This window comes from Homo sapiens, chromosome 6, assembly GCF_000001405.40.
Source record: "Homo sapiens chromosome 6, GRCh38.p14 Primary Assembly".
Lineage (NCBI taxonomy): Eukaryota > Metazoa > Chordata > Mammalia > Primates > Hominidae > Homo > Homo sapiens.
In genome coordinates, this window is record NC_000006.12 from 31,637,785 (window position 1) to 31,661,027 (window position 23,243).

Sequence of the window (23,243 nt, forward strand, 5' to 3'; positions counted from 1 at the left end):
TTGGGGGATGAGTTGTTTGCATTGTCTTAAAGCATGGTGCTGAGTGATCTGTAGTTTCAGTCAGGGAAATATTCATTACTTATTCCAGTGAGCTGTTGAAACTAAAAACATGACCATCGTATTGGATCTTTAAATTTTTGTGAGTCTGGAATTTGGGCTGAGCTCAGCTGGATAAATCTGCTTTTTTGTGCCAGTGAGCGAGGTCAACTGGTTATCAGTCTGCAGCTGACACCTGGGCTGGTCCCAATATGGCTTCCTTTGCATATCTAGGGCCTTGGTGGGACATCTGTAACATTACTGGGTTATCAACCAGTGTCTTCACATGGACTCTCCAGCAGGCCTGTTAAATGTCCGTGAGCTCATGTTCCAAGAGGTCTAGCTGGAATTTTCTAAGCTTATGCCATGCTTAGTTGATAAGAGCACTAAACTAGCCAAGGTAGGGGATGGGGGGGTTTAGAAGGGACTTCAACTGCATCTCAAAGGGACTAGCAAAGAATTTGCAGCCATGGGACTTCAGTTCTTTATGATGAACTAAGGGGAAATCTCTGTTAAGGCCTCAATGTTGGAGCACACTTAAGGGGCTCTTTGAATTGGATAGACCAATTCCAGCATTGTCAAACTAAGTGGGATTTCACATGGTAACGCTGCATGCTAGTTATGCTAAAGACTATACTTAGGTCTGCAGCTGCTCAGAAACTTTTTTTGATGGGTAATTTGAGAGCTCTATGCTAGTGTGCACCTGGAATATGCTCCCAACTCAAAATACAGGTTTTTTATTTATATATAAAGTGCTTTCGCACAAAAAATACAAACATCAGGCTGGGCGCGGTGGCCCACGCCTGTAATTCCAGCACTTTGGGAGGCCAAGGCGGGTGGATCACAAGGTCAGGAGTTCGAGACCAGCCTGGCCAATATGGTGAAACCCTGTCTCTACTAAAAATACAAAAATTAGCCGGGCGTCGTGGCGGACGCCTGTAGTCCCAGCTACTCAGGAGGCTGAGGCATGAGTGAGAATCACTTGAACCCGGGAGGTGGAGGTTGTAGTGAGCCGAGCTCGAGATCGGGCCACTGCACTCCAGCCTGGGAGACAGCAATACTCTGTCTCAAAAAAAAAAAAAAACAAACATCAAAACTGGCTTGTACAATTTAGCGTGCTGAGTAGAACACAACAGTGTTCCAAGGAAGTATTAATTTAAAAAAGTTCACACAAGATTAAGGGACACACTACCTAATGGAGACAATGTAGAGAGAAAGCAGCCAGAAAAATCCGACTTTTATTTCTTAAATACTGTGAAGGAAGAGGGGGGAAACGGTCCCCTGATGAGGAAGGGCCATAGAGCAAAGAGCTAAGGATCATCAGCAAAGGCCCGCTGGGCATTGGGGAAGCGCTGGGGACTGTAGTTGGGGTCTTCCTGCAGTCGTTTTTGTATATCAGACCGGAGCTAAAGAGAAAAAGTAAGCAGGTTGGAGAAACGCTGGCCAAGTCCCCATGATCCCAGCAAGCACACAAGGCCATCCCTCAGAAGCTAACATTTCCCCCCCCAAGCACACTGTCAAATAGCCCGGGGTGGCACTGTCAAGCCTTCCCAGATGCCAAAGGGGAAAACAAATGGTAGCACCAGGCTGACCAGTTCATCGCTGAAGGGATCCAGGGAAGAGGGACCCTAGCCCAACCCCTCCCACTAGACCATCCCTATTCTGCTTCAAGGTGGCACCTGCTGCCTGTAGCTCTCCTGAACCTCTGGTGCCTCCAGGTCCCGGCTCAGGCTCTCGGGGCTCGTCAGGGGCCGAGCTCCGGCTGCCTTAGCTGCCCGGCTCACAGCCTCTGAGAGAAGCAGCTGGGGGCCCTCACCCTGCATCGTCTGGGGGACAGGGGGTTGGGAGGGAAAAGAGGATCAACGTCAGATCCAGTGCCACCATCCGGCTCACCCTTTCCATGAGTCAACCACTCCACTGAGTCTCCATGCTAGTGGAGAGAGGGGAAATTAAGAGTCCAGGATGTGGTTTTTACAGCAGAAATGCCTTCCTAATTCTCTTTGGCACTAGCCAAAACTAAAGTGAATGTGCTTGAACGTGCTCTTCAAAACGAAAGGCAGAAGGGGTCAAGCCATCCGGGATTCAGAGCTAGGTAATCCACAAGAGGAAACCCACCTTAAAGGAAAATGGGATCTAAGCACATGGGGATTAGGCAGCTGAGCAACTAATACAGGACTGCTAGCAAACAGACTAAGGTCAAGTCCTGTATGGTTATGCAACAACCAAGAGCAAGTCTGAATCCCAGAAAAAGTTTCCTCATTAAACGAGGGGAGGGGAGACTGAATAACAAGAGCTCCCACCATCTCTACATAGTTTGATTCCAGGCATGACGGGGAAACCTGGATAGAGAGAGAGGCTTAGGGAAGAGGAAAACCAACCTTGCGTCTCTTGGCAGGCATACCACTGAGGTAGGCATCACTCAGAGGGGGCTGCGGTTTCACCTTCCGCTGGCTCTGAATGTCCTGCTGGATAATAGGGACCCATTCCTGGGGAGGAAAAGAGAAAATAGTAATGTCCTTGACTTTCAGCTGCCATGACCCACTGGATTACTTCCTGACACTTACTGGGGGGACTGCAGCTGCCCAAGGTTCTGTCTCAGCTGAAGCTCCATCCTGTTCATCCCGGGAGCCCCCCTCAGGAGCAGGAGGTGGACCTCGGGACATGGCCTCTTCTGCTGTTGTTCCAGGGGCTGGGGAAGCATTCTCCCGCTGGGTGTCAGATGGCGGGAAGAGCCAGGCTTCAGAATTTTTAGCCTCCAAACCTTTCTCCCCCAGCCCTCCACTCCACATTATCTGGCCCCTCAACCTCCCCCTCTCTAGAGTACCTGAGGCTCAGGGGAAGCTCTTTCTGCTCCCTGAACTTCCATTGGCTCCTCAGGAAGTGGCTGTGAAATTAAAGAACACCATACTTCCTCTCAGATCTCTCCAGTTCTCTCAAGTACCCTGACCCCATCGCCCAACAGGTCCCTTACCTGGGGGGGATCACCAACCCTGCGAACGTATCTGAGAATGGCATCAGGGCCTACAGGCATGTGCTCCAGTACCACCTGAAGCCTCAGTCCCATCATAGTGGTCAGCCAGCTCACCAAGGAGGGATTCACCCCACGAGACATACGACGCTGAGGGACAGAAAGCAGATTTAGAACACAAAACCCTCAACCACCTTTAGAAATAGATTAGATCCAGGTTACAGAATGTCAGTTTAGAAAAGAAAAATGAAAACTGCAGAGAATGGAAACCTCAGGAAACAAAAGGCTAAGGATCTGGGGCTAGGTGGTGCTTACAATTCGGCCATTGATAACAGCAGCAAGCTCCATCTGCTGTCCCCCCAAGCAGTGCAGGTTTAGGGCCAGGCATTCAAACAGGCCTTGGTTACACAACTCCAGCAACCGGGCCCCAAATCCACTATCTGTGGGCAAAATACAAGGAGGGAATGCTGGCACGTGGCAGCCCTGCACATGCAACAGGCCCCACTTGCCCCCGCCTGGCCAGCCCCTGACCTGTGCAATGCAGCACATGCGCAGCAATGCTATTAAACTGCTCTTGGAGAAATTCCAGGTTTGTCCGGATGATGTCCACACCTGGCTGAACCTGCACCAAGGACTGAGAGACAAGATAACACAAAGATCCCAAAATCAAGAATCATAAGACTGGGAGTGGAGGAGGCAGCTGCCTTGACCAGACCCAGGAGAGGAAAGGAATAGAGAAGGGTTACTCACAAAACTCTCCCGCACATACTCTTCTAGCCCCGTGATCAATGTGTGGGTTGCCATCTGTGGAGGAAACAGAACAGGTTTAGTTCAAAGCCTCAGTCCTCCCAAGACTTCCACCTCGACCCCAACAAGTCCAGGGCTTGTGTGGGGGCAATTGGAGCTTTACCTGGCAGAGAAGCAGTCAGAAATAAGGAATAAAATGTGCAAAAGAGGAGAGTTCTGGGGCCCCTGGCCTTCATTTACCCGGATGTTACTGGGTGTGGGCTCCTGACCACCCAGGTAGTGCTGGTGGAAGAAGGATCGCAGCTGGGGCTGGAGCCGTTGTAGTGGCTGGAAATGCCCATGGAGAAGCATCACTACGTCCACCATAGAGAAGTTCTGGCACAGAAGAGAAAGCAAGGCCCCAAAGAATCCTGGGGGACAAGGGCAGATGTTAGCAATGGCCTTTACCACCTGGCCTGCCCACCCACAACCAGATCATCAACCTCATCCCACCTTGGCAACACCCCTAAACCAAGGCCATCTACATTCCTCTGGCTGCCCCTTCCTGGAGCAAGCCAAAGCATCCTTTTTGCTCACCAAGGGCCCCATCAGCTCCAGGCTCAAAGATGTTGCTGGATCCACTGAGGCGTTGTATGAAGGCAGCAATACTTTCACTGCTGCCAGCCCGAGCCCCCAGGGAGCCCAGCAGGGAGCTGAGCACACCCTGCACCACTGAGGTAAAAAACTCCGGTGACAGGCTCTCAAGACCCAGGCCTCCAGGACTCCCTGCGCCACCAGAAGGGGAGCCTGGTGGGGGCATGGTCTGCTGCTCTGGGGCAGGTGGTGGGGGTGGAGGAGGTGGGGGTGGTGGAGGGGCTGTCTGTGTTGCCTGGCAAATAAAGAAAGAACAAAGAACAGAAAGTGAGGTGAGAATGAAGACACACGGAAATAATACGGCATCAAGAGGGCACAAACCAACGGGTCTGGGAAGATGGGGAGTTACATTCTGATCTTCACTGCTTAAAGCAGAAGTATGGTAGGTATTTAACAGAGTCAGGCAGCACAACTTACCTACCTCTTCCTCTGAACAGGCTGTCAGAAAGCAGTGACACTAATTACTATACTTTCTTTTTCTAAACCTCATTTTCTTCATCTTTAAAATGAAAGGTTCAGAGTCAATGAATTCCCAGGGCCCCTTCCCCTAACATGTCACTAGGGGCTCTTACCCAGTGGTTATATAATGGCAAGAAGGTACCACTGCCTGGCTGGGCCGGGGGACAGGAAGATGAGGTGAATGGCAAGCCAGCCACTCACCTGCAAGAAGTCAGTCATGCCTTGGAGAAAGGCAGGGACACCAGGCATCGCCACAGTGATGGTGGGAGAAGCCACACCAGACCCTCCAGCCCCTGGCCCTGCAGGCCCTAGCAGGTTCCCCAGAAGCTGAGAGAACTGAAGATCAGCCATGGAGGGTTGAGGGGTGGGTGGAGGCTGGGCAGGCCCCCCAGGAGCGGGGCCAGCTGTGGTAGCTGTGTTGGTGGTGCCAGCACTGGCAGAAGCAGTGGCAGGGGCTGGCGGTGGAGCCATACCTGGGGTCCCCTGAGCTGTAAGAAACCAAAAAAAGAAAGCTGGGCTGAGCATGGTGGCTCTTGGCTGTAATCCTAGCAACTTTGGGAGGCCAAGGCATGAGAACTGCTTGAGCCCAGGAGTCTAGGCCACATAGCAAGACCCCATCTCTACCAGAAAAAAAAAAAGACAATTACTAGCCAGGAGCTAGTACTGCTAGCTACTCAGGAGGCTGAGGTGGGAGAACTGTTTGAGCCCAGGAGTTCAAGGTTACAGTGAGCTTTAACTCACTGGATTGCACCATTGCACTCCAGTCTGGGTGACAGAGCAAGACTCTGTAACTTAAAAAAAAAAGAAAAAAGCTGGCCGGGCACGATGGCTCAAGCCTGTAATCCCAGCACTTTGGGAGGCCAAGGTGGGTGGATCACAAGGTCAAGAGTTCGAGACCATCCTGGCCAACATGGTGAAACCCCCTTCTCTACTAAAAACATAAAAAATTAGCTGGGCGTGGTGGCGTGCACCTGTAGTCCCAGCTACTCAGGAGGCTGAGGCAGGAGAATCACTTGAACCCGGGAGGCAGAGGTTGCAGTGAGCCAAGATTGTACACTGCACTCCAGCCTAGCAACAGAGTGAGACTCCATCTCAAAAAAAAAAAAAAAAAAAAAAAAAGCTGAAACCTGAAGACACAAGACACTACAGCAGCCCCATTCCAGGAAAGCAGGAACCAAGAAAATATGGAAAGAACTGGAAAGTGCCAGTGAGCAGACTAGGAAAGGAGTTTAAACTCTGAGTGGGGAAGAATGAAAACTCACCCACAAGGACTGGCTGCATAAGAAGCTGCCCCACAAGGCCGCTCACCATCTGGGCCAACGAGGCATTGGTACCCAGACCGGCGCCCTGCTGGATAGAGAGCAAGGGAGAATTTCAGACCTGCCCTTCCATGCACCACCACAGGAGTCTCTCCCTAGACTGTTACGCACTAGAACTCCCCGACCCTTGCTCACCAGTGTCCCAGAGACTGGGGGCCCTCCAGGATGGGAAGGCCGAGCCTGTGGAGGAGTGGGCCGGGCAATCACCACCCGGGTTGGAGCTGTTGGGAAGCCTGGCACCTGCTGTCCTGTGGGTGGCAGAAGAGACAGACCGAAGAGGGCTGAGGGCCAGGCCCTTGCCAGCCAGCTGCCACCATGGACTGTGCCCTACCTCCCAAGCCTCCCCTTCCAGGTCATTACCTGCGGCCGCGGAGGCAACAGCTGCCACCATGGCCTGATGAGTGATCTGGTGGGCGACGGCGTGCATGAACTCAGGGGGCAGGGAGGGCAGCTGGATGAGGGTGGAGCCTGGGGGGCGGGTCTGATGTAACCTTGAACCTGGACCCCTTCAACCCACCCACTCAGCCCTTCCCTTTCTCTACCCAGAGCTCAGCCTGCCCTGATGCCCTCACTCTTACCCAGGGTTTGGCCATGACCAGGGGGTCCCAGGGGGCCAGTGGGAGCACTCGGAACACCACCAGGCTGTGTGCCAGAATCTGGGCAGGGAGACAGAGACAGTGGCCCTGAGGTAGGTAGGGCCAAGGCCTAACTATATCCTTCTGAGATCAGGCATACTTCAGGCCCATAATCCCCCAATCAGAAAGCCTGCCTTTCCCTCCATCTAAACAGGGAGAGGTACTCCCTTCACCACACAAACACACCTCCAAAGACAAACCAACCCCCACACCCCCCACATCTGTCTACTTAAGCTTCTGCTCTGGTCCCCAGGCTACCACCACCAGCATGTGCCTCTCCCTTCCCCACCCTGTTCCCTCACACCTCAGCATGAACCTCCCTCATCATGCTGATCCTGCTCTTCTCGCCAGCAACTATTCTCACCTTGAATGTTCATGTGCATCATGACCACGGGTTCCACACTCTGGTGGGAAATCCGGATGACCCTCGGGTGGCTGGTGGCTGGCGGGGGAGCTGGACCTGGCGGGGGAGCCCCCTCAGCTGAGGACTCGACATTGGTAGAAGACGGAGCCACGGATGAGGCCTGCCCAGGACCAGGGGGAGGTGCCTCTGCATTGGGAGTTGGGGGGGGCCGAGTCCCATTTCCTGTCATGGTCACAGTGGTTCCCACATTGATCTGAAAAAGACAGATGGACAGGCAGATGTGAGAAAAATACAAGAGCCTAACCAAGAAAACCTCATGATAAACCTCTAAAGTATCTCCAGCCTTCATCACCATGTTTCCAGTCTCCTCCTTTCCTAACCTCCTTCAGGCCCAGTAGCTACCCTGGGTCACTCTATCAACACCCCTCACTCTCCCTCAGGCCAGACTCCCCCTAACCCACCTGTATGGGAATGGCTGCCTGCTGGAGCACCATGGGGGTGGTGTAGTGAGACATAGGCCGGACCACATGCAGGTGTCGTGGGGGCGTGCAGGCCAGATTGCAGCGCAGGTCAGACAGTGCAACAAAGGTGTTGCCCAGCAGTCGCAGGCTCTCCCCTACCAAGTTGATCAACCGCTGATCCTCCTCCCGGCCCTCGTGCTGCGCACAACCAGCCAAACACAAAAAGGCAGAAAATATCAAGCTGGAGTCCATCTCACTAATAAAAGCAATAATGCCTACTGAGAATACCATGTCCTCCAAAACTTTCAGTTATATCCTTGGAAGTTTACATGTAGACCAAATCTTTGCAAATAAATTATATCTTATTCACATAAGGAACATCCTATTAAAACACTACTATGAATCAGTAAGTCATCATATACTGATCTCCTGTACTTTACATTTTCTAAATTCATTCAGGGGCACAAGGGGTACGATACGAGGACAGTGCTTACAGCAAAGATTATCACCTTCTCTGTAAGGGAGGACAAAATCACTTACAGGTTTAGAGAGAAATTGTTTTGTTGCAATGTGTGTTTTTTTGTTTTGTTTTGTTTTTTGAGACAGTCTCGCTCTGTCACCCAGGCTAGAGTGCAGTAGTGCAATCTCGGCTCACTGCAACCCCCTCCTCCCGAGTTCTAGCGATTCTCCTGCCTCAGCCTCCTGAGTAGCTGGGATTACAGGTGTGCACCACTACATCCAGCTAATGTTTATATTTTCAGTAGAGATGGGGTTGCACCATGTTGGCCAGGCTGGTCTCAAACTCCCAATCTCAGATGATCCGCCCACCTTGGCCTCCCAAAGTGCTGGGATTACAGGCGTGAGCCACTGCACCTGGCCCTGTTGCAATGTTTTTCCAGGGAGGGAAAGAGTTATCTGCATTTCAGCCTGTTCTGTTTTGGGAGTACTGGGGCTGAGGAGAAAGGGCAGGGCCATCAAAGGGCTCACATTGTTATTGTAGTCCGTGGTGGCAGCAGCACCCAGAACCTCGTAGTAGCGCTGCAAGAAGGGCTGGAGGCGACTCTCCAGCCGCTGTAGCTCCTGGAGCACCTCGACATACTCCGCAGGGGAAGGATGGCTGTGGACAAACCCAAGGGGCAATGAGCCAAAGCCTTCCTCAGATTCCCACCCTCACAGTCAACAGGGACCACATGTGCCCTCTTTCTCCCTGGTCTCCCAGAGCCCTGGCCCAATCCTTCTCTGGACCAGCAGAGCTTCTATTCTCTTCAACCTCCGCCTCCCAGGTTCAAACGATTCTCCTGCCTCTGCCTCCCAAGTAGCTGGGATTAAGTTGCCTGCCACCACACCCGGCTAATTTTTGTTTTTTTTTTTTTTTTTTTTTTTTTGAGACAGAGTCTCGCTCTATCACCCAGGCTGGAGTGCAGTGGTGCGACCTCAGCTCACTGCAAGCTCCGTCTCCTGGGTTCACACCATTCTCCTGACTCAGCCTCCCGAGTAGCTGGGACTACAGGTGCCCGCCACCATGCCCAGCTAATTTTTTGTATTTTTAGTAGAGACGGGGTTTCATCATGTTAGCCAGGATAGTCTCGATCTCTTGACCTCATGATCCACCCGCCTCGGCCTCCCAAAGTGCTGGGATTACAGGCGTGAGCCACTGTGCCCGGCCTGTATTTTTTAGTAGAGACAGGGTTTCACCATGTTGGCCAGGCTGGTCTCGAACTCCTGACCTCAGGTGATCTGCCCGCCTCTGCCTCCCAAAGTGCTGAGATTACAGGCATGAGCCACTGCACCCAGCCAAAGCTTCTATTCTTTACTCCCACCCATGAGAGGATAGGGAGAAGAAAATGAACTGCTCCCACCCTCCCCACCACAATCCTGCACCTACAATGGTGAAAGACTAATTCTAAGAAAGAGAGCAGGCCTTCGTGAACTCAGAGGAGAATTCCGATCAGGCTCAGGAGATACCATTTGGATTTCCTTGCCGTAGGGAGAGCAGCAGTTCTTCTCAGCTGCCTGTCCTAGCGTCATTTACCTATACCGAGAGAGCCCCTCCTCGCCCCTCAATGCTAACCCTTCAACTAAGACCTCCAAGTAATCCTTTCCCTCCCTTGCCATGGTTCATTTCCTTCTCCCCATACTTCACTTAGGATTCCCCACCCACTAAAGATTCCCTCCATCTCTCACTTGGGTGCATTTGTTTCCGGGGCAGGTGTTGGGCCCGCTGGGGCTGGGCCAGGAGTGAGCTCCGGGTTCTGGGCTGGGGCACGCTCCTCCACTTCTTCTGCCTCCATGGGCTCCCGGGGAGGTGCTTCACTTTCAACTGGTTCTGATGTTTGAGAGCTCAAGGCTACTGGCTCCGGGGTCACAGCCGGTGGCTGCGGGGGCGGCTGACTGTGCTGCGGTTGGGGCCCTCCTCGACACTGAAGGTAGGGGAGAGTCAGGATACCAAAGGCAGGGTAAGACTGCTGCAGAGGATTACTCTACAGGAGACTGAACAGAGAAAGTATCCTAACTAGACTCCCTGAAGGCATGGCTCTGCAATTTTATCTCCGACTCGCTAGCAACTAGCATAAGACTGACACAAATTAGATGCATAATAAGCATCTGTAATTTTTTTTTTTTTTTTTGAGACAGAGTCTCGCTCTGTTGCCCAGGCTGGAGTGCAGTGGCATGATCTCAGCTCACTGTAACCTCCGCCTCCCAGGTTCAAGAAATTCTCTTGCCTCAGCCTTCTAAGTAGCCAGGCCTACAGGCGCGTGCCACCACACCCAACTAATTTTTGTACTTGTAGTAGAGACAGGGTTTCACCATGTTGGCCAGGCTGGATTGGAACTCCTGACCACACGTTATCCCCCTGCCATGGCGACCCAAAGTGCTGGGATTACAGGCAGGAGCCACCACACCCGGCCACAGCATCTGTAATATTTGTAAATAAATTTCTAACAAAGAGTAGAGATTGTGGTTTCCTTTCCTCCACAAGTTGGTTTCCCAGCCTCCACAAGTTAAGAGAGTAGAATCCTTTAATTGAAAAGAGATGCCATGAGACTAAGTCTGAAACAAACTCCCCAGATACCAGGCACCAAGAGGATTGGCAGAAATGAGAGAGCCTCACAAAGATACTTTTTCTGCCCAAAAGAATGAATACTGCAGAGAAGACTAGATTATGAAGGCCAAACCCTGTGGATGTGGCCAGTGAAGCCCTAACTCCCAGGCTGAGAGAAAAGGGAGAGGGAGGGTGGAGAGAGACCCTAGCCAGCCTTGCCCACTTACCTCCATCCGGGATAGTAAGGTCTGTATATCCCTGATCATGTGCTGAGCCATCACCAGCCGTACCCGGGGCTCACTCTACAATGAGAGAAGGTTTATCAGGGTAGGTTACAGATGAAGCCATGAGTTCTACCACCTACTAAATCAGGTCCCAGCCATCTCTCAGCCAGGTCCACCCCACCTCCCAGCCTCCTTCTCCCAGATCCCCTTCCCTGACCCTCGGAGGCCCCTCAATACCTGAATCGGGGCCTGTTCCATGTTGATGTGAACATCCACAGCAGAGCCGTCACTCTGGGGAAAGGGTAAGGGAAGTTGTTCTGGGAGAAGCCAACACTAAGGCCTCCACACCTCCAATTCATTCCCTGGAGCCCTACCTCCTTTTCTCCTTAAAGACTGAGACCAATAGCACACCACAGGGCCCCCTGAACCCAATCTAAAGATGGAAGCATCTATCTTATTAATTCCCTGGTGCTACCACAACCAAAGCTACCCACAAAAGCCCTCCCCTGTGGAACATAAGCTTACAGGAAGATTGAAGGTTCCAACCATGACATAGCTGTTGGCATTCCGGTCATGAACAGAGGCCCCAGGCCCCCGAGTACCAGGGGGGGATCCCCCACCATGAGTGGCTGAGGCAGACCCCGTCCCAGAAGATGCCCCAGAAGGGAGGTGAGTCTGAGGAGGAGCCCGTTCCACCAGGTGGATAACCTTTCCCCCAACATCTGCAGAAAAATAGACACACACCAAAACATAGTATGAACAGGTAAACCCATGGCCTCAGTTCATCCCTCCAGACAGTAGCCCCAACCTCTGAACTGCCTCCCCAGCCCCCTTACTGTATTCCTGAAGCTTCTTATCATCTTGCAGAACTCGTCCCTGGTAAATGAGCCGTTGTTTTTCAGATGGGATGCTGACAGAGGCAGCAATGTGCTCCTTAAACTCTTTTACATTCATCTGAAAAGAAGAGGCATGCACAGGAATGGAAAGAATGGAGGAAAGAGGAAGAACAAAGACAGACAACCGAGTTGTGGAGGTGAGGGGTAAAAACCACCACAGAATCACTACCCGTTTGTCTTGACCGTGAGATCATTACTGTGCAAACCCTTAAACTAAAGTAACAGCTGTCAAAATACAGACAATAAATTTGGCTTGGCGCGGTGGCTCACACCTGTAATCCCAGCACTTTGGGAGGCCAAGGCAGGCAGATCACATTAGGTCAGGAGTTCGAGACCAGCCTGGCCAACATGGTAAAACCCCTTTTTTACCAAAAATACAAAAAAATAAGCCAGGCATGGTGGTCGCCTGTAATCCCAGCTACTAGGGAGGCTGAAGCAAGAGAATCACTTGAATTCGGGAGGCGGAGGTTGCAGTGAGCCGAGATCGCATCACTACACTCTAGCCTGGGTGACAGAGAGGGACTCCATCTCAAAAAATTAAATAAATAAACTTAATGAAGCTCAGGTTATAGATCCAGGAAAAATAACACGGATGAAAAACAAAAAAAAAACACATGGACATTATATTATCTGTCTGGCATCCAAGGGAGTATGTGTCTAGAGACATCAGTGACCCCTTTCCAAACACAAGATGATACCAGTTTATTTACCAGACTCTCCTGTGATTTCCAAGATTAAAAAATGGCAAAGAAGATGGGGTCTGGTATCAGGTTAATGAAGAAAGACTAAGAAGATAAGAAAGCAAAAAAGGTCCCAGCACAGTGGCTCACACCTGTAATCCCAGCACTTTGGGAGGCCGAGGCAGGTGGATCACCTGAGGTCAGGAGTTCAAGACCAGCCTGGCCAACACGGTAAAACCCTGTCTCTACTAAAAATACAAAAATTAGCCGGGCGTGGTAGTAGGCGTCGTCTGTAATCCCAGATACTCAGGAGGCTGAGGCAGGAAAATTGCTTGAACCCAGGAGGCAGAGGTTGCAGTGAGCTGAGATTGCGCCCCAGCCCTCCATCCTGGGCAACAAGAGCAAAACTCCATCTCAAAAAAAAAAAAAAAAGCAAAAAGAGAAATATTTTTCCTAACTACAAACTGACTCTTGGGAAGTACCAGAGTATTTATATACATCTAATCACAAGTCTATATATGGCTTTCTTATATCCAGGTAATATCACATTTTAGAAAACCATGGACCACCCCACATGCAATTTGTCTCCAAGTATTACAGGAGTAAAGACACAGATAGCTATGTCCAAGGCTTTAAGCTCAAGAGACTCAAGCTATGCCATAAAAATTAGTAATTTCACTCAACAGTCTATCAAGGACCTATCTCCATTATGGGTTCTGATTTCTACCCTTTAAGAACACAGCATAGACCTGACCAATGTCTATCAGTAAGACACACTTGCTTAGGGTTCCTGTGCTGTTTCCCTTCCCAAAGGCCAGAGCCATGCCTGTCCCTTTGGGTTGGGGTCCACCCATGATGATGACACACAGATTCTTCCTTCCTCTGTATTTCCCTCTGCATTAAGTTCTATCCATGTGGAGGACAGAACAAAATCAGCCTCACTCACAAAACATCAGAAAACGTTCTACTGGAATACGAACAAAGGGATCAATAAAAATAAAATCTGAGGCCAGGTGCGGTGGCTCATGCCTGTAATACCAGCACTTTGGGAGGCCGAGGAGGGCACATCACCTGAGGTAAGGAGTTCGAGACCAGCCTGACCAACATGGTGAAACCCCGTCTCTACTAAAAATACAAAAATCAGCTGGGTATAGTGGCACACGCCTATAATCCCAGCTACTCAGGAGGCTGAGATAGGAAAATCGCTTGAACCCAAGAGGTGGAAGTTTCAGTGAGTCGAGATCGCGCCACTGCACTCCAGCCTGGAAGACAGGGCGTGACTCCATCTCAAAAAAAAGAAAAAAAAAGAAAATCTGGTGACCAGAAAATCAAGCTCATCTCTCAGGCTAAGGGGCCTAAACGAGGAAAAGCTAAAGGTGTCTTCCAGAACTAGTGAGGTGTCTCACCTGGGCCCCCACAATAAAGGTACGAGTTTGAGAGTCCAAGGTCTTCACCAACACCTCCAAGCTGTCAGGCTCCTCCACAGCGGTACTGGTACTATCATTAGGCTCCATGGCCGACAGGTCTCTAAAGAAGAACGAAGGAAGGAAGGCCCGCTGTTGCCCAGACCAGAGTGTACCCGAAAGACTCCCTAGCATTAATCCCTGCCCCAATACCTAAAAAGTTTCTCCTGCACACACACACATTCACACCTGTCCCCATCCCCCTTCTGATTCCGGGGCACAGGGAGAGAAACACAAAGGGCAGGAGATCGACGGCTTAGGGAGCTGGAGGACGAGAGGTGGGAGGGGCTCCACGACGCCAATCACAATAAGCAGGGAGCCAGTCAGATTAGGAAGGAAGCACGAGACCAGAGACTAGTGTCATCACCGGTCACGGCAGGACAAGCGCCCCAGAGGTCGGAAAATCCTGGGACAACGCGAAAGCGGTGGTCGCCCCACACTCTGCGGAGAAAGTGGTTTCGCGCACGCGCGCCACGCCCATCGAACCCTCCTAACTCACTATAGACCCGAAACGGCACTCACGGGGCGACAGACCTGCTAGCTGACTGCCCGCGTCTACTGCCTTCCCACGGTGTTCCAGCAGAACGGCACAACTAACCCACAGCCAAACACACACACACACACACACACACACACACACACACACACCCACCACCCCGCGGCTCCGCCCCCGACTTCCCCACGGACCGTCACTTCCGGTCTCCCCCAAACCTGCCACCGACGGCCACTTCCGTTTCCCCGATAGTATTTGGGGATCTCGAAGCGATACTTCCGGCTCCCCCCAGGTCCCCAAGCTTTACTTTTGTGGGGCACGACGAGAAAGTCCGCAGCCCCAAACAGTGAGTTTCTGAGGGCGAGTCGGGCCGGGGCCGGCCTAGGTGGGAGGGAGCCGAGCACCCCGAGGAGCCGCCACCGCTGTCGCCCGGGGGACCGTACTACGCCTGCGTGCGTCGCACTACGGATGCGTGGACACTTAAGCATCGCCCCACCCCCTCCCCCCTCTGGCGGCGTTCACGTCTGTGCGCGCGCTTGAGCGCTAGAAGATTGAGGTGGCTACCGTAAATGCCTGAAAAACAGTCACCAGCTGGGACTCTACCACTGCCTCGAGAGGGGCTATGGACGGTCGTATGGACCTTGGACTTTGGAGATGGGGGATTATGCCACATTCATCTATGTTTAAATCTTGGCAGGCTGATAATTTCAGGCGGCACTGTCCTAGCCAGCTAAAACTCTTCTCCACCCTATTGCCCTCGCTGCGCCCTTTCTTCTGTGCCTCCGGAAGTTACTCTTTCAGTAGGCGTTTGGGGGCGGCACTGGTCAATTTTGTTCTCGGTTGCTTGGTTGGGCTAGATTTCGGTTCTGCCGGGTGGGCGTTTTAAGGGCTGTGGGCGTCACATTCGTCGGTGTGTGGCCAAGGGGACATGACACGTTTTAGGAAAAGTAAACGTGCTACTAAGTTGCACGACTTGTCAAGAAAAGAGGCGCTTCCGAGTTTGAGAATTGGGAGCAAATGGAGTCCGAGTGGACAGAAAGACAAGACCCTGACCGTGGGGAATTTAAAGGCCGGCCAGCGTGCTTCCGAAGGCCGGGGGTGGAGGCATTACCGCCTCTCCGTGCCCTCTTCTCTTAACCTGCCCTGGGCCAAGGGCCTCGGCCCCGCGAAACTGCGAGTCCTCCAGAAAGACACATCGCTGTTGGGGTGTCCAACCTTTCTGGGATTCGTAGTTTATACCCAGGTCCTGGTTATATTTTAGTTAAGAGTTCTAATAAGCAGCTGTTTAATGAGCACTTGTGCCAGCCCATATACTACGGGTTTTGTGTATTATTTTAAAAAGCCTTTTAACGAGCTTTTAACATTTTTTAAGTGAGTACACTTAGACGAACATAAGTGTCAGAATTGACAAATCCAGGCCTACAGGACTCCAGATCGAGCACTTGTACTTTACTGCCCCAATAAAAAGCTGTTAACATTTTAGCTTATTTTTTTGAGAGAGGGTCTCGCTTTGTCGCCCAGGCTGGAGTGCAGTGGCGCAATCACAACTCACTGTAGCCTCTGCCTCCCGAGCCCAACCGATCTTCCCACCTCAGCCTCCCTAGTAGGGACCACAGATGCACACCACCACACCTGGCTAATTTTATTTTTATAGAGATGGGGTCTTGCTATGTTGCCCAGCCTGGTCTTGCAGACTTGGCCTCCCAAAGTGCTGGGATTATAGGTGTGAGCTACTGTGCCTAACCACATTTTAGCTTTTTATTACAAAAATTTTCGGCCGGGCGCAGTGACTCACACTTGGGAGGATGAGGCGGGTGGATCACGAGGTCAGGAGTTCAAGACCAGCCTGGCCAAAATGGTGAAACCCCATCTCTACTAAAAATACAAAAATTAGCCTGGCGTGGTGGCGGGCGCCTGTAATCCCAGCTACTTGGGAGGCTGAGGCAGAGAATTGCTTTGAACCCGGGAGGTGGAGATTGCAGTGAGCCAAGATCGCGCCACTGCACTCCAGCTTGGGCAACAGAACGAGACTCCCATCTCAAAAAAAAAAAAAAAAAAATTCAAACATTACACCAAAATAGAACAGTATTAATAAACTCTAATATACTGGTCACCCAAATTTTGTTTGTTTTTTAACTAAATCGCAAGCCTCAGCCCTCGGCAAATTTTTTGTGGCAGTCCATGGGATATAAATTTATCAAGCTAGGTGTGGTGGCTCATGCCTGTAATCCCAACACTTTAGGAGGCTAAGGTGGGCCGACTGCTTGAGCTCAGGAGTTTAATACCAGCCTGGGGCAACATGGTGAAACTCCGTGTCTACAAAAAATTAGCTAGGCGTGATGGCGTGCACCTATACCTCCTACTCGGGAATCATCTGAGCCGGGGAAGTCAAAGTCATGCCTGGGCGACAGAGTGAGACCCTGTCTTAAAAATAAATAAGTAAATAAATAATCTATCGAGGAAGATCCATCTCTCACAGCATTAACTGCTCCAGTCACTTGGTGCTATCCAAGGACAACCTATTTGGCAATTCTTACTGCCTATTATTTGAGAACTTATTACCCACCAGAAACTAAGTGCTTTGCAAACATTACTATTAATTATAGCAAATATATACTTTGGACTTACCATGTGCAAGTCTTTGCTAAGGGCTTTATGTGCATTATTTCATTTAATCCTATAAGATTGATGATTTGCCAATTTTACAGATGAAAAAACAGACATAGCAGTTAGGGGTTGGTGGTGTTTTGTTTGTTTGGAGACAGAGTCTCTGTCGCCCAAGCTGGAGTGCAGTGGCACAATCAGGGCTCATTGCAGCCTCGACATCCCAGGCTCAAGCAATCCTCCCTCCTCAGCCTCCCTAGTAGCTGGGACTACAGGCGTGTGCCACCACATCGGCTAATTTTTGTATTTTTTGTAGAGACAGAGTTTTGCCATGTAGCCCAGGCTGGTTTTGAACTCCTGGGCTCAAGCCATCCGCCCACCTTGGCCTCTCAAAGTGCTGAGATTACAGGCATGAGCTACCTGCCCTGCCTGTAGTTAGGGTTTGGACACATTCTGCCTGACACCAACATCTATCCTCTCTAACAGCCAGATTACATAGCCTCTTTGTAGTAATAAATGTTGAGTGAATGTGTCAGTGAACACTGCCAGGGTATACATATTTTTCTAATTGTAAACTAAAGAGAGCAATCCACCGTGCCCCAGCACCTGCATCATACCTGTTCTAAAGCATTTACCAAGTTGTATTGCAATGGTTTGTCTACACAGCTAGTTTTCCCTCTAACGACTTCTTCAAGATCAGGGGCTATGTCTTATTCGTTTTTTTATGTCCCCGGGGATTAGCTAGTTCTTGGGAAACAACTGGGACTTGGGATTCAAAACAGTTTGCTAAGTGAATGAATGAGAGGCCCAGTCAAGCTACTTCCCTTCAGTGCTGCACAGTGCAACAAATAACCAGCTCAGATACAGGTTCAAAGACCACAGGCTTCTCCCTGGACAGCTCAGCTCTCCTCATAACTCCTGAGAAACCCTGGACATGCCAGGGTGTACTATGGAGTGGTTGCATCCGGAAGAGGGGGAGGAAGTCCCAAACACTAAGTAATCCAGGTTTGGGTTGGAAAACAAGGTTGAAGTTACTCATTAGCAGGTGAAAGGGTCAAGGGTCGAACGCAAGGGAGCTGAAAGCAGAGTGGACTGAGCAGCCAGTAGGGGAGAGAGCAGTTAAGGCACACAGAGCACCAGCTCCCTCCTGCCTGAAGATGTTCCACCAAATTTGGGCAGCTCTGCTCTACTTCTATGGTATTATCCTTAACTCCATCTACCAGTGCCCTGAGCACAGTCAACTGACAACTCTGGGCGTGGATGGGAAGGAGGTATGGACTGAGATTGGGGGAAGCCTATGGTGGAGGCTCTGAGGGACTTGGGTGGATGGCCTAGGATGACTGGAGACCATCTTGGGAAAGGAAGAGAGGAAGGGGGTGTGAGTGTTGTGATAATGAAAGCAAGAAGAAAAATATCAGTACTGTGGCCATCAATGCAGAGGCATGGCAGAATTGGGGGGTGGGGTGGTTACCCAGGTTGACTGGGGAGGGGCAAAGAGGAAAAGTCATTTAATGACTCTTTGTCATGGATCCAATCCCCAGTTGGAAAGAGGAAGGCAGCCAACACCTCTACCCCTAAATCTTGCTGTTTTGACTGATGAAGAGGTTGAACCCATCCTGTGCTGGAACCCACCCTCTTTTGCTCCCTTCATTGTCTCTCCAGTTCCCAGAGGTCCACTTGGGCCAGTGGTACTTTATCGCAGGGGCAGCTCCCACCAAGGAGGAGTTGGCAACTTTTGACCCTGTGGACAACATTGTCTTCAATATGGCTGCTGGCTCTGCCCCGATGCAGCTCCACCTTCGTGCTACCATCCGCATGTGAGTGGTAAGGAGGCAGAAGCATCACTGGGTTCAGTCTCTGCCCAAAGTGTGAGAATCCACCCACCAAGAGCTGGCCTCTTAGCTGGTATATCTACTATGCTTGGCCCACGGAATTCAGTGGCTGTATTAATTGCCCTCTGGAGAAAGATGTGCCTAACCAATGCTTGGTAGCTTGAAACCCAAGGAGAGCTGGGCTTCAATAACAAATACAATGGAGTAAATAGAAGCCGGGACAGGCCAGACGTGGTGGCTCACGCCTGTAATCCCAGCACTTTGGGAGGCTGAGGCGGACAGATCACGAGGTCAGGAGATCGAGACCATCCTGGCTAACACAGTGAAACCCCGTCTCTACTAAAAATATAAAAAACTAGCTGGGCATGGTGGTGGGCACCTGTAGTCCCAGCTACTCACGAGGTTGAGGCAGGAGAATGGCGTGAACCCGGGAGGCAGAGCTTGCAGTGAGCCGAGATGGCGCCACTGCACTCCAGCCTGGGCAACAGAGTGAGACTCTGTCTCAAAAAAAAAAAAAAGAAGCTGGGACACTATGGTTGGGGTGATGCTCATTCTTTCCTCCTTGCCACCACCACCTCTGCAGGAAAGATGGGCTCTGTGTGCCCCGGAAATGGATCTACCACCTGACTGAAGGGAGCACAGATCTCAGAACTGAAGGTTGGTTCTTCCCAGCCCTCACCCTCCCTTGAGTTTGGTTCTGCATCTCTGTTCTCATACTTCTCCCACCTGCCTTGACAGGCCGCCCTGACATGAAGACTGAGCTCTTTTCCAGCTCATGCCCAGGTGGAATCATGCTGAATGAGACAGGCCAGGGTTACCAGCGCTTTCTCCTCTACAGTGAGTAGGGATACAAGGCAGGAAGGGTTGGAGGGAAACAAGGGAGGGCAGGAGAACTCCTCACTCTGGGTCCTATGACACCCTCCCAGGAAGAGCTAGGTGCTTCCAGGGGTTTTGACTGGCCTGACCCCACCTTGCCCTTCCAGATCGCTCACCACATCCTCCCGAAAAGTGTGTGGAGGAATTCAAGTCCCTGACTTCCTGCCTGGACTCCAAAGCCTTCTTATTGACTCCTAGGAATCAAGGTAAGGGGTTAAAATCTCATAAAACAGGATTAGGACTCACCAAGTCTTCTGGTGTTACAGGGTGAAAGAGGCTCGTGTGATGTCACCAGAGGGATGTGGCTAAGAGCTGTGATGTCACCTGAGGGAGGCAGGATGGGTTCTGGGCTACTCAAAAGAGAGGTTTCTGAGTTTGCACTGGATAAAGGGGGCAGAGGGTCATACGTGGAGGGAAAAGAGCCTTAGAGACTCCCCTTTGACACAGGGAATGAAAGAACACGTTCTCCCCCACCCCATTACTATCAACTTTGCTTTTCTCCCTGGACTTCCCTTCTGTCCTTCTTTTTCCCTCCCCCCATCACAGAGGCCTGTGAGCTGTCCAATAACTGACCTGTAACTTCATCTAAGTCCCCAGATGGGTACAATGGGAGCTGAGTTGTTGGAGGGAGAAGCTGGAGACTTCCAGCTCCAGCTCCCACTCAAGATAATAAAGATAATTTTTCAATCCTCATCTCATTCTGGGGTTTGTCTCCAGACGTCATTCCCACTCCTCCCATTTCAACATTCCCCCTGGATCCTCTACCACCTAAACTCCCAGCTGGACGGTGTCAGTAAGAACAGAGTGGCAGTAACTCTCACTTTGTAGTGGTATATTTAGGATTTGATGTGACACAGTTATTTATTGCTGAGTGAGCAAACCCCTAGCCCCCAAGTGGGGACTACAGGCTTCAGTGCTTCCCCCACACTGCCTGAGCTACCAGCCCTTCTGCACTGGCCCTCCTGCCAATACTGCCTGCACTGTCCCCACTCCCTCTGGCTCCCATGATCACCAGATCCGCCCTGCAGGCTCCCTGTCACCTGTGGGGCCCTATCCAGACCCCCTAATCCACTTGCCTAGCAGCCCCACTCTTCCCTCGATGGCTCAGATCCTGAGATCCAAGGAACACCCTGGGTTTCCCAACCACTCTCTTACTGCAGAGGTCTGTCTATCCTGCCCTGGTCTCCTCCACCCCAGGAGAGTTTTCAAAGGTAGAGAGGACCCTTTGGTCTTTATTCACCACCATCATACTTTTTTTTTTTTTTGCTTTTAAAAAGTGGAGGTGGAAAAAAAAAAAAAACTGAAGGTGGGAGAAAAGTAAAAGCAAAAATAACAGCTGGTGAATCCAAGAGCAGTGCCCTCACTGTCCATAAACACAAACACCCTAAATAGTTCTGTTCTCTCCTGTGTATGAAGGGGGGCCCTGCACCCTCGTACTCGGGTTTCTTCCCCATCCCTGAGGTCCCTATGCTTACAATTTGGGTCATGCCTCACACTTTTCTCCTAAAGCCCACACTCTCTTCACCCTTTGCCCCCACCCCACGGTCACAGCCCCTTTCCCGGGTCTCCCCTCTGCTCCTCACCTTCCCTCTCCAACCCCTCACTCTCCCAGTCAGTGGCCGCCTCATCCCCATTGGGCTCCCGGAGGCTGACAGCCAGCACCAAGGCCTGCAGGAGACCAAAGAGGCAGGCGAAGTGCAAAGGGTGGGCAGTAAGTAGGCTCAGAACAGCATGGAGCCCATGCAGGGCAGCCAGGAAGGACAGTAGGCCATGTAGCCAGAGGCCCAGCGGTCCACGCAGGCCCAGTGTGTCCAAGGCTGCCCGCAGTGGTCGTGAGCACAGGGCCAGCAGGGCAGAGGCCAGCAGCTCCAGAAGATGCAGGGTCAGGTTGGTGGAGATCTGCAGACACTCTTCTGGGCCCCCCAAGTACCGGGAGGGAGCTCCTGGTTCCCCCCGCAGCCAGCCCAACAGCTTCTCACGCCTACCAGGTTTCTCCAATGGGGCTCCTGGCCCAGGGACGCTCAGTCCCCCTTCAGGGGACACCCCTGGTCTCCTGGTGCCACCTGAATCCACATGATCCCATCTGAGTTTGGGACTGGCCCCTCCAGCCTCCAGTCTCCCAGACTCTTGAGTGCTAGAGATAGGCTGGTCCCACTTGAGGGAATCCATTCTTTTGCTCCCTAGCTGCTCAACTTGGGGCTCCTCCTTGCTTGGTTCGGAAGCAGCCCCAGAAACCCTCAATGCCCCCGAGTCCTTAGTCTTGGGATGCCCCACATCTTCCATGGTTTCTGGGGCACTATCCCAGTCACTTCCTGAATTCTCCGAGGAGCTGTCCACCCGTCTGGGTTCTGGGTAAGGCGGGTCAGGCCTCATTGGTTTCCGGCGGCCCCAAGGGCGAGGTAGCCAGCCACCAAGCCGTCGCAGGAACATGGCTGGGGTGTGTAATGGGCCCCCAAATTCTGAGGCTGCTTCCTGGCACTACTCAGACTCTCAGGATCTCCTCAGAAGCCAGAGTCTTTCTGGCTCAGAACAGGTATTTGCCTGGTGATGCAGTCCTACTCTGAATTCAGAAGTGGCTCCTCCCTTCTCTGAATAGTCATGCAGCCTCAAGTGTGGCAAGTAGTTTGCTTCCTCTTCAGTTCTGGGGTAAAGGGGGGCATACCCAAATTCATTCACCATCCACACCCCCACAATCTGAGATTCCAAGAATCTCAGATCTGACAAGGCCTGGGTCACCACCAGAGAGTCCTCTCTGCGTTTCCGGATTTCCTTCCCAGCAGGCAGCACCCCAAGTTTCACTCACCAAGGCCACACCCCAAGGTGTCCCAGAAACTGGGGAGGCAGTGCTCCATCCAATAAAGCGGGCAGGAAGGTGGCCCCAGGTCCTAGGTGCTCCTGGATCGTGTAGTCTTTAACTGCTGCCCCAAGGGACCTCAAGGAATAGGAATTCTCTTTGTTAGGAGGTGGAATGAAAGTGTCCAGCAAACTCCAGCCAGCAGCGTTCGTCCCTTGATTTAGAGGGCTATGATTTCTACAAAGTGGCCCGACTGGCCCGCGAACACGCAGCAGAGACGCGGCCTCCACAAGGTCAGAACTAAGATGTCCTCAGAGATCCCCAGTTACGAAGCAAAGCGCGGGCCTACTTCGGGACCTACGCGTCCGGGCGCTGTGCGCGGGGACCGCTCCCGGGCCCAGCGTCGGGGCCGCGGCCTTGGGGAGCCGCCGGGAGCCGCGAAGCCCGGAAGCAGCTGCACCAGGACTGGAAGGACCCGCGGGGGCGGTGCCGCAGCTCATGGGGCGGACCCTGCGAATAGACCGCCCCCGTATACCCCGCGCTGTCTGTGCGCGCCGGACCGCCAAACCGAGATTAGCAAGGACCAGGACCTTAATATAAACCCAGCTCCCCATTTTCCCGGGTTTCTCATGCTTCCCTAAACTCGGTCGCCCCCTACAGCCCCCTGCCCCTGGGTTCTTTTCCACATCCCCCACCACTCCTCCATTTCGCATCCA

General features: G+C 51.8%; 3 protein-coding genes across 78 annotated transcripts, besides 6 other annotated features; 1 reads left to right on the forward strand and 2 right to left on the reverse strand.

Moving 5' to 3' along the window:
* Positions 1-1,243: 1,243 nt before the first annotated feature.
* On the reverse strand, positions 1,244-14,877 carry BAG6 (BAG cochaperone 6). 73 transcript variants are annotated; one of them, NM_001387988.1, is made up of 26 exons: positions 14,729-14,877; positions 13,872-13,992; positions 11,726-11,843; positions 11,415-11,611; positions 11,127-11,180; positions 10,893-10,967; positions 9,807-10,042; positions 8,610-8,739; positions 7,623-7,820; positions 7,162-7,414; positions 6,741-6,818; positions 6,523-6,630; positions 6,298-6,410; positions 6,106-6,190; positions 5,045-5,331; positions 4,328-4,619; positions 3,992-4,161; positions 3,755-3,808; positions 3,536-3,638; positions 3,320-3,444; positions 3,008-3,154; positions 2,861-2,920; positions 2,601-2,744; positions 2,415-2,522; positions 1,716-1,862; positions 1,244-1,442 (listed from the first exon to the last, which is right to left on the reverse strand). In NM_001387988.1, exons 2-26 carry the CDS (start codon positions 13,977-13,979, stop codon positions 1,347-1,349), a joined length of 3,486 nt encoding a protein of 1,161 aa, NP_001374917.1. In that variant the 5' UTR covers positions 13,980-13,992; positions 14,729-14,877; the 3' UTR covers positions 1,244-1,346. The 73 variants fall into 73 exon arrangements, with proteins under 73 accessions (NP_001374917.1, NP_001374918.1, NP_001374922.1 ...); NM_001387989.1 differs by having other exon boundaries at positions 6,106-6,193; NM_001387993.1 differs by having other exon boundaries at positions 14,640-14,877.
* Positions 13,746-14,325: an enhancer, noted in NCBI's record as "NANOG-H3K27ac-H3K4me1 hESC enhancer chr6:31619307-31619886 (GRCh37/hg19 assembly coordinates)". NCBI's record gives its function as "activates a minimal SCP1, AML or CMV promoter by ChIP-STARR-seq in primed H9 embryonic stem cells {active_cell/tissue: H9 hESC(primed)}" and the evidence as "EXISTENCE:reporter gene assay evidence [ECO:0000049][PMID:30033119]".
* Positions 14,326-14,905: an enhancer, noted in NCBI's record as "NANOG-H3K27ac-H3K4me1 hESC enhancer chr6:31619887-31620466 (GRCh37/hg19 assembly coordinates)". NCBI's record gives its function as "activates a minimal SCP1, AML or CMV promoter by ChIP-STARR-seq in primed H9 embryonic stem cells {active_cell/tissue: H9 hESC(primed)}" and the evidence as "EXISTENCE:reporter gene assay evidence [ECO:0000049][PMID:30033119]".
* Positions 14,620-20,426, forward strand: APOM (apolipoprotein M). Of its 4 annotated transcripts, none has more exons than NR_045828.2 (6): positions 14,620-14,767; positions 18,688-18,849; positions 19,441-19,514; positions 19,596-19,694; positions 19,841-19,939; positions 20,280-20,426. NR_045828.2 is itself a non-coding variant. In NM_001256169.2 (6 exons), exons 2-6 carry the CDS (start codon positions 18,790-18,792, stop codon positions 20,303-20,305), a joined length of 351 nt encoding a protein of 116 aa, NP_001243098.1. In that variant the 5' UTR covers positions 14,620-14,767; positions 18,688-18,789; the 3' UTR covers positions 20,306-20,426. The 4 variants fall into 4 exon arrangements, 3 of the variants coding, with proteins under 3 accessions (NP_001243098.1, XP_006715213.1, NP_061974.2); NM_001256169.2 differs by having other exon boundaries at positions 18,688-18,842; XM_006715150.4 differs by lacking the exon at positions 14,620-14,767 and adding an exon at positions 18,110-18,296.
* Positions 14,906-15,485: an enhancer, noted in NCBI's record as "NANOG-H3K27ac-H3K4me1 hESC enhancer chr6:31620467-31621046 (GRCh37/hg19 assembly coordinates)". NCBI's record gives its function as "activates a minimal SCP1, AML or CMV promoter by ChIP-STARR-seq in primed H9 embryonic stem cells {active_cell/tissue: H9 hESC(primed)}" and the evidence as "EXISTENCE:reporter gene assay evidence [ECO:0000049][PMID:30033119]".
* An 87-nt stretch (positions 20,427-20,513) lies between the features above and the next one.
* On the reverse strand, positions 20,514-22,994 carry C6orf47 (chromosome 6 open reading frame 47). The gene has a single exon (NM_021184.4). It carries the CDS (start codon positions 22,161-22,163, stop codon positions 21,279-21,281), a length of 885 nt encoding a protein of 294 aa, NP_067007.3. The 5' UTR covers positions 22,164-22,994; the 3' UTR covers positions 20,514-21,278.
* Positions 22,092-22,629: an enhancer, noted in NCBI's record as "H3K27ac-H3K4me1 hESC enhancer chr6:31627653-31628190 (GRCh37/hg19 assembly coordinates)". NCBI's record gives its function as "activates a minimal SCP1, AML or CMV promoter by ChIP-STARR-seq in primed H9 embryonic stem cells {active_cell/tissue: H9 hESC(primed)}" and the evidence as "EXISTENCE:reporter gene assay evidence [ECO:0000049][PMID:30033119]".
* Positions 22,208-22,502: a silencer, noted in NCBI's record as "tiled region #4681; K562 Repressive DNase matched - State 5:Enh". NCBI's record gives its function as "represses a minimal TATA promoter and a strong SV40 promoter by Sharpr-MPRA in K562 cells {active_cell/tissue: K562}" and the evidence as "EXISTENCE:reporter gene assay evidence [ECO:0000049][PMID:27701403]".
* Positions 22,630-23,166: an enhancer, noted in NCBI's record as "H3K27ac-H3K4me1 hESC enhancer chr6:31628191-31628727 (GRCh37/hg19 assembly coordinates)". NCBI's record gives its function as "activates a minimal SCP1, AML or CMV promoter by ChIP-STARR-seq in primed H9 embryonic stem cells {active_cell/tissue: H9 hESC(primed)}" and the evidence as "EXISTENCE:reporter gene assay evidence [ECO:0000049][PMID:30033119]".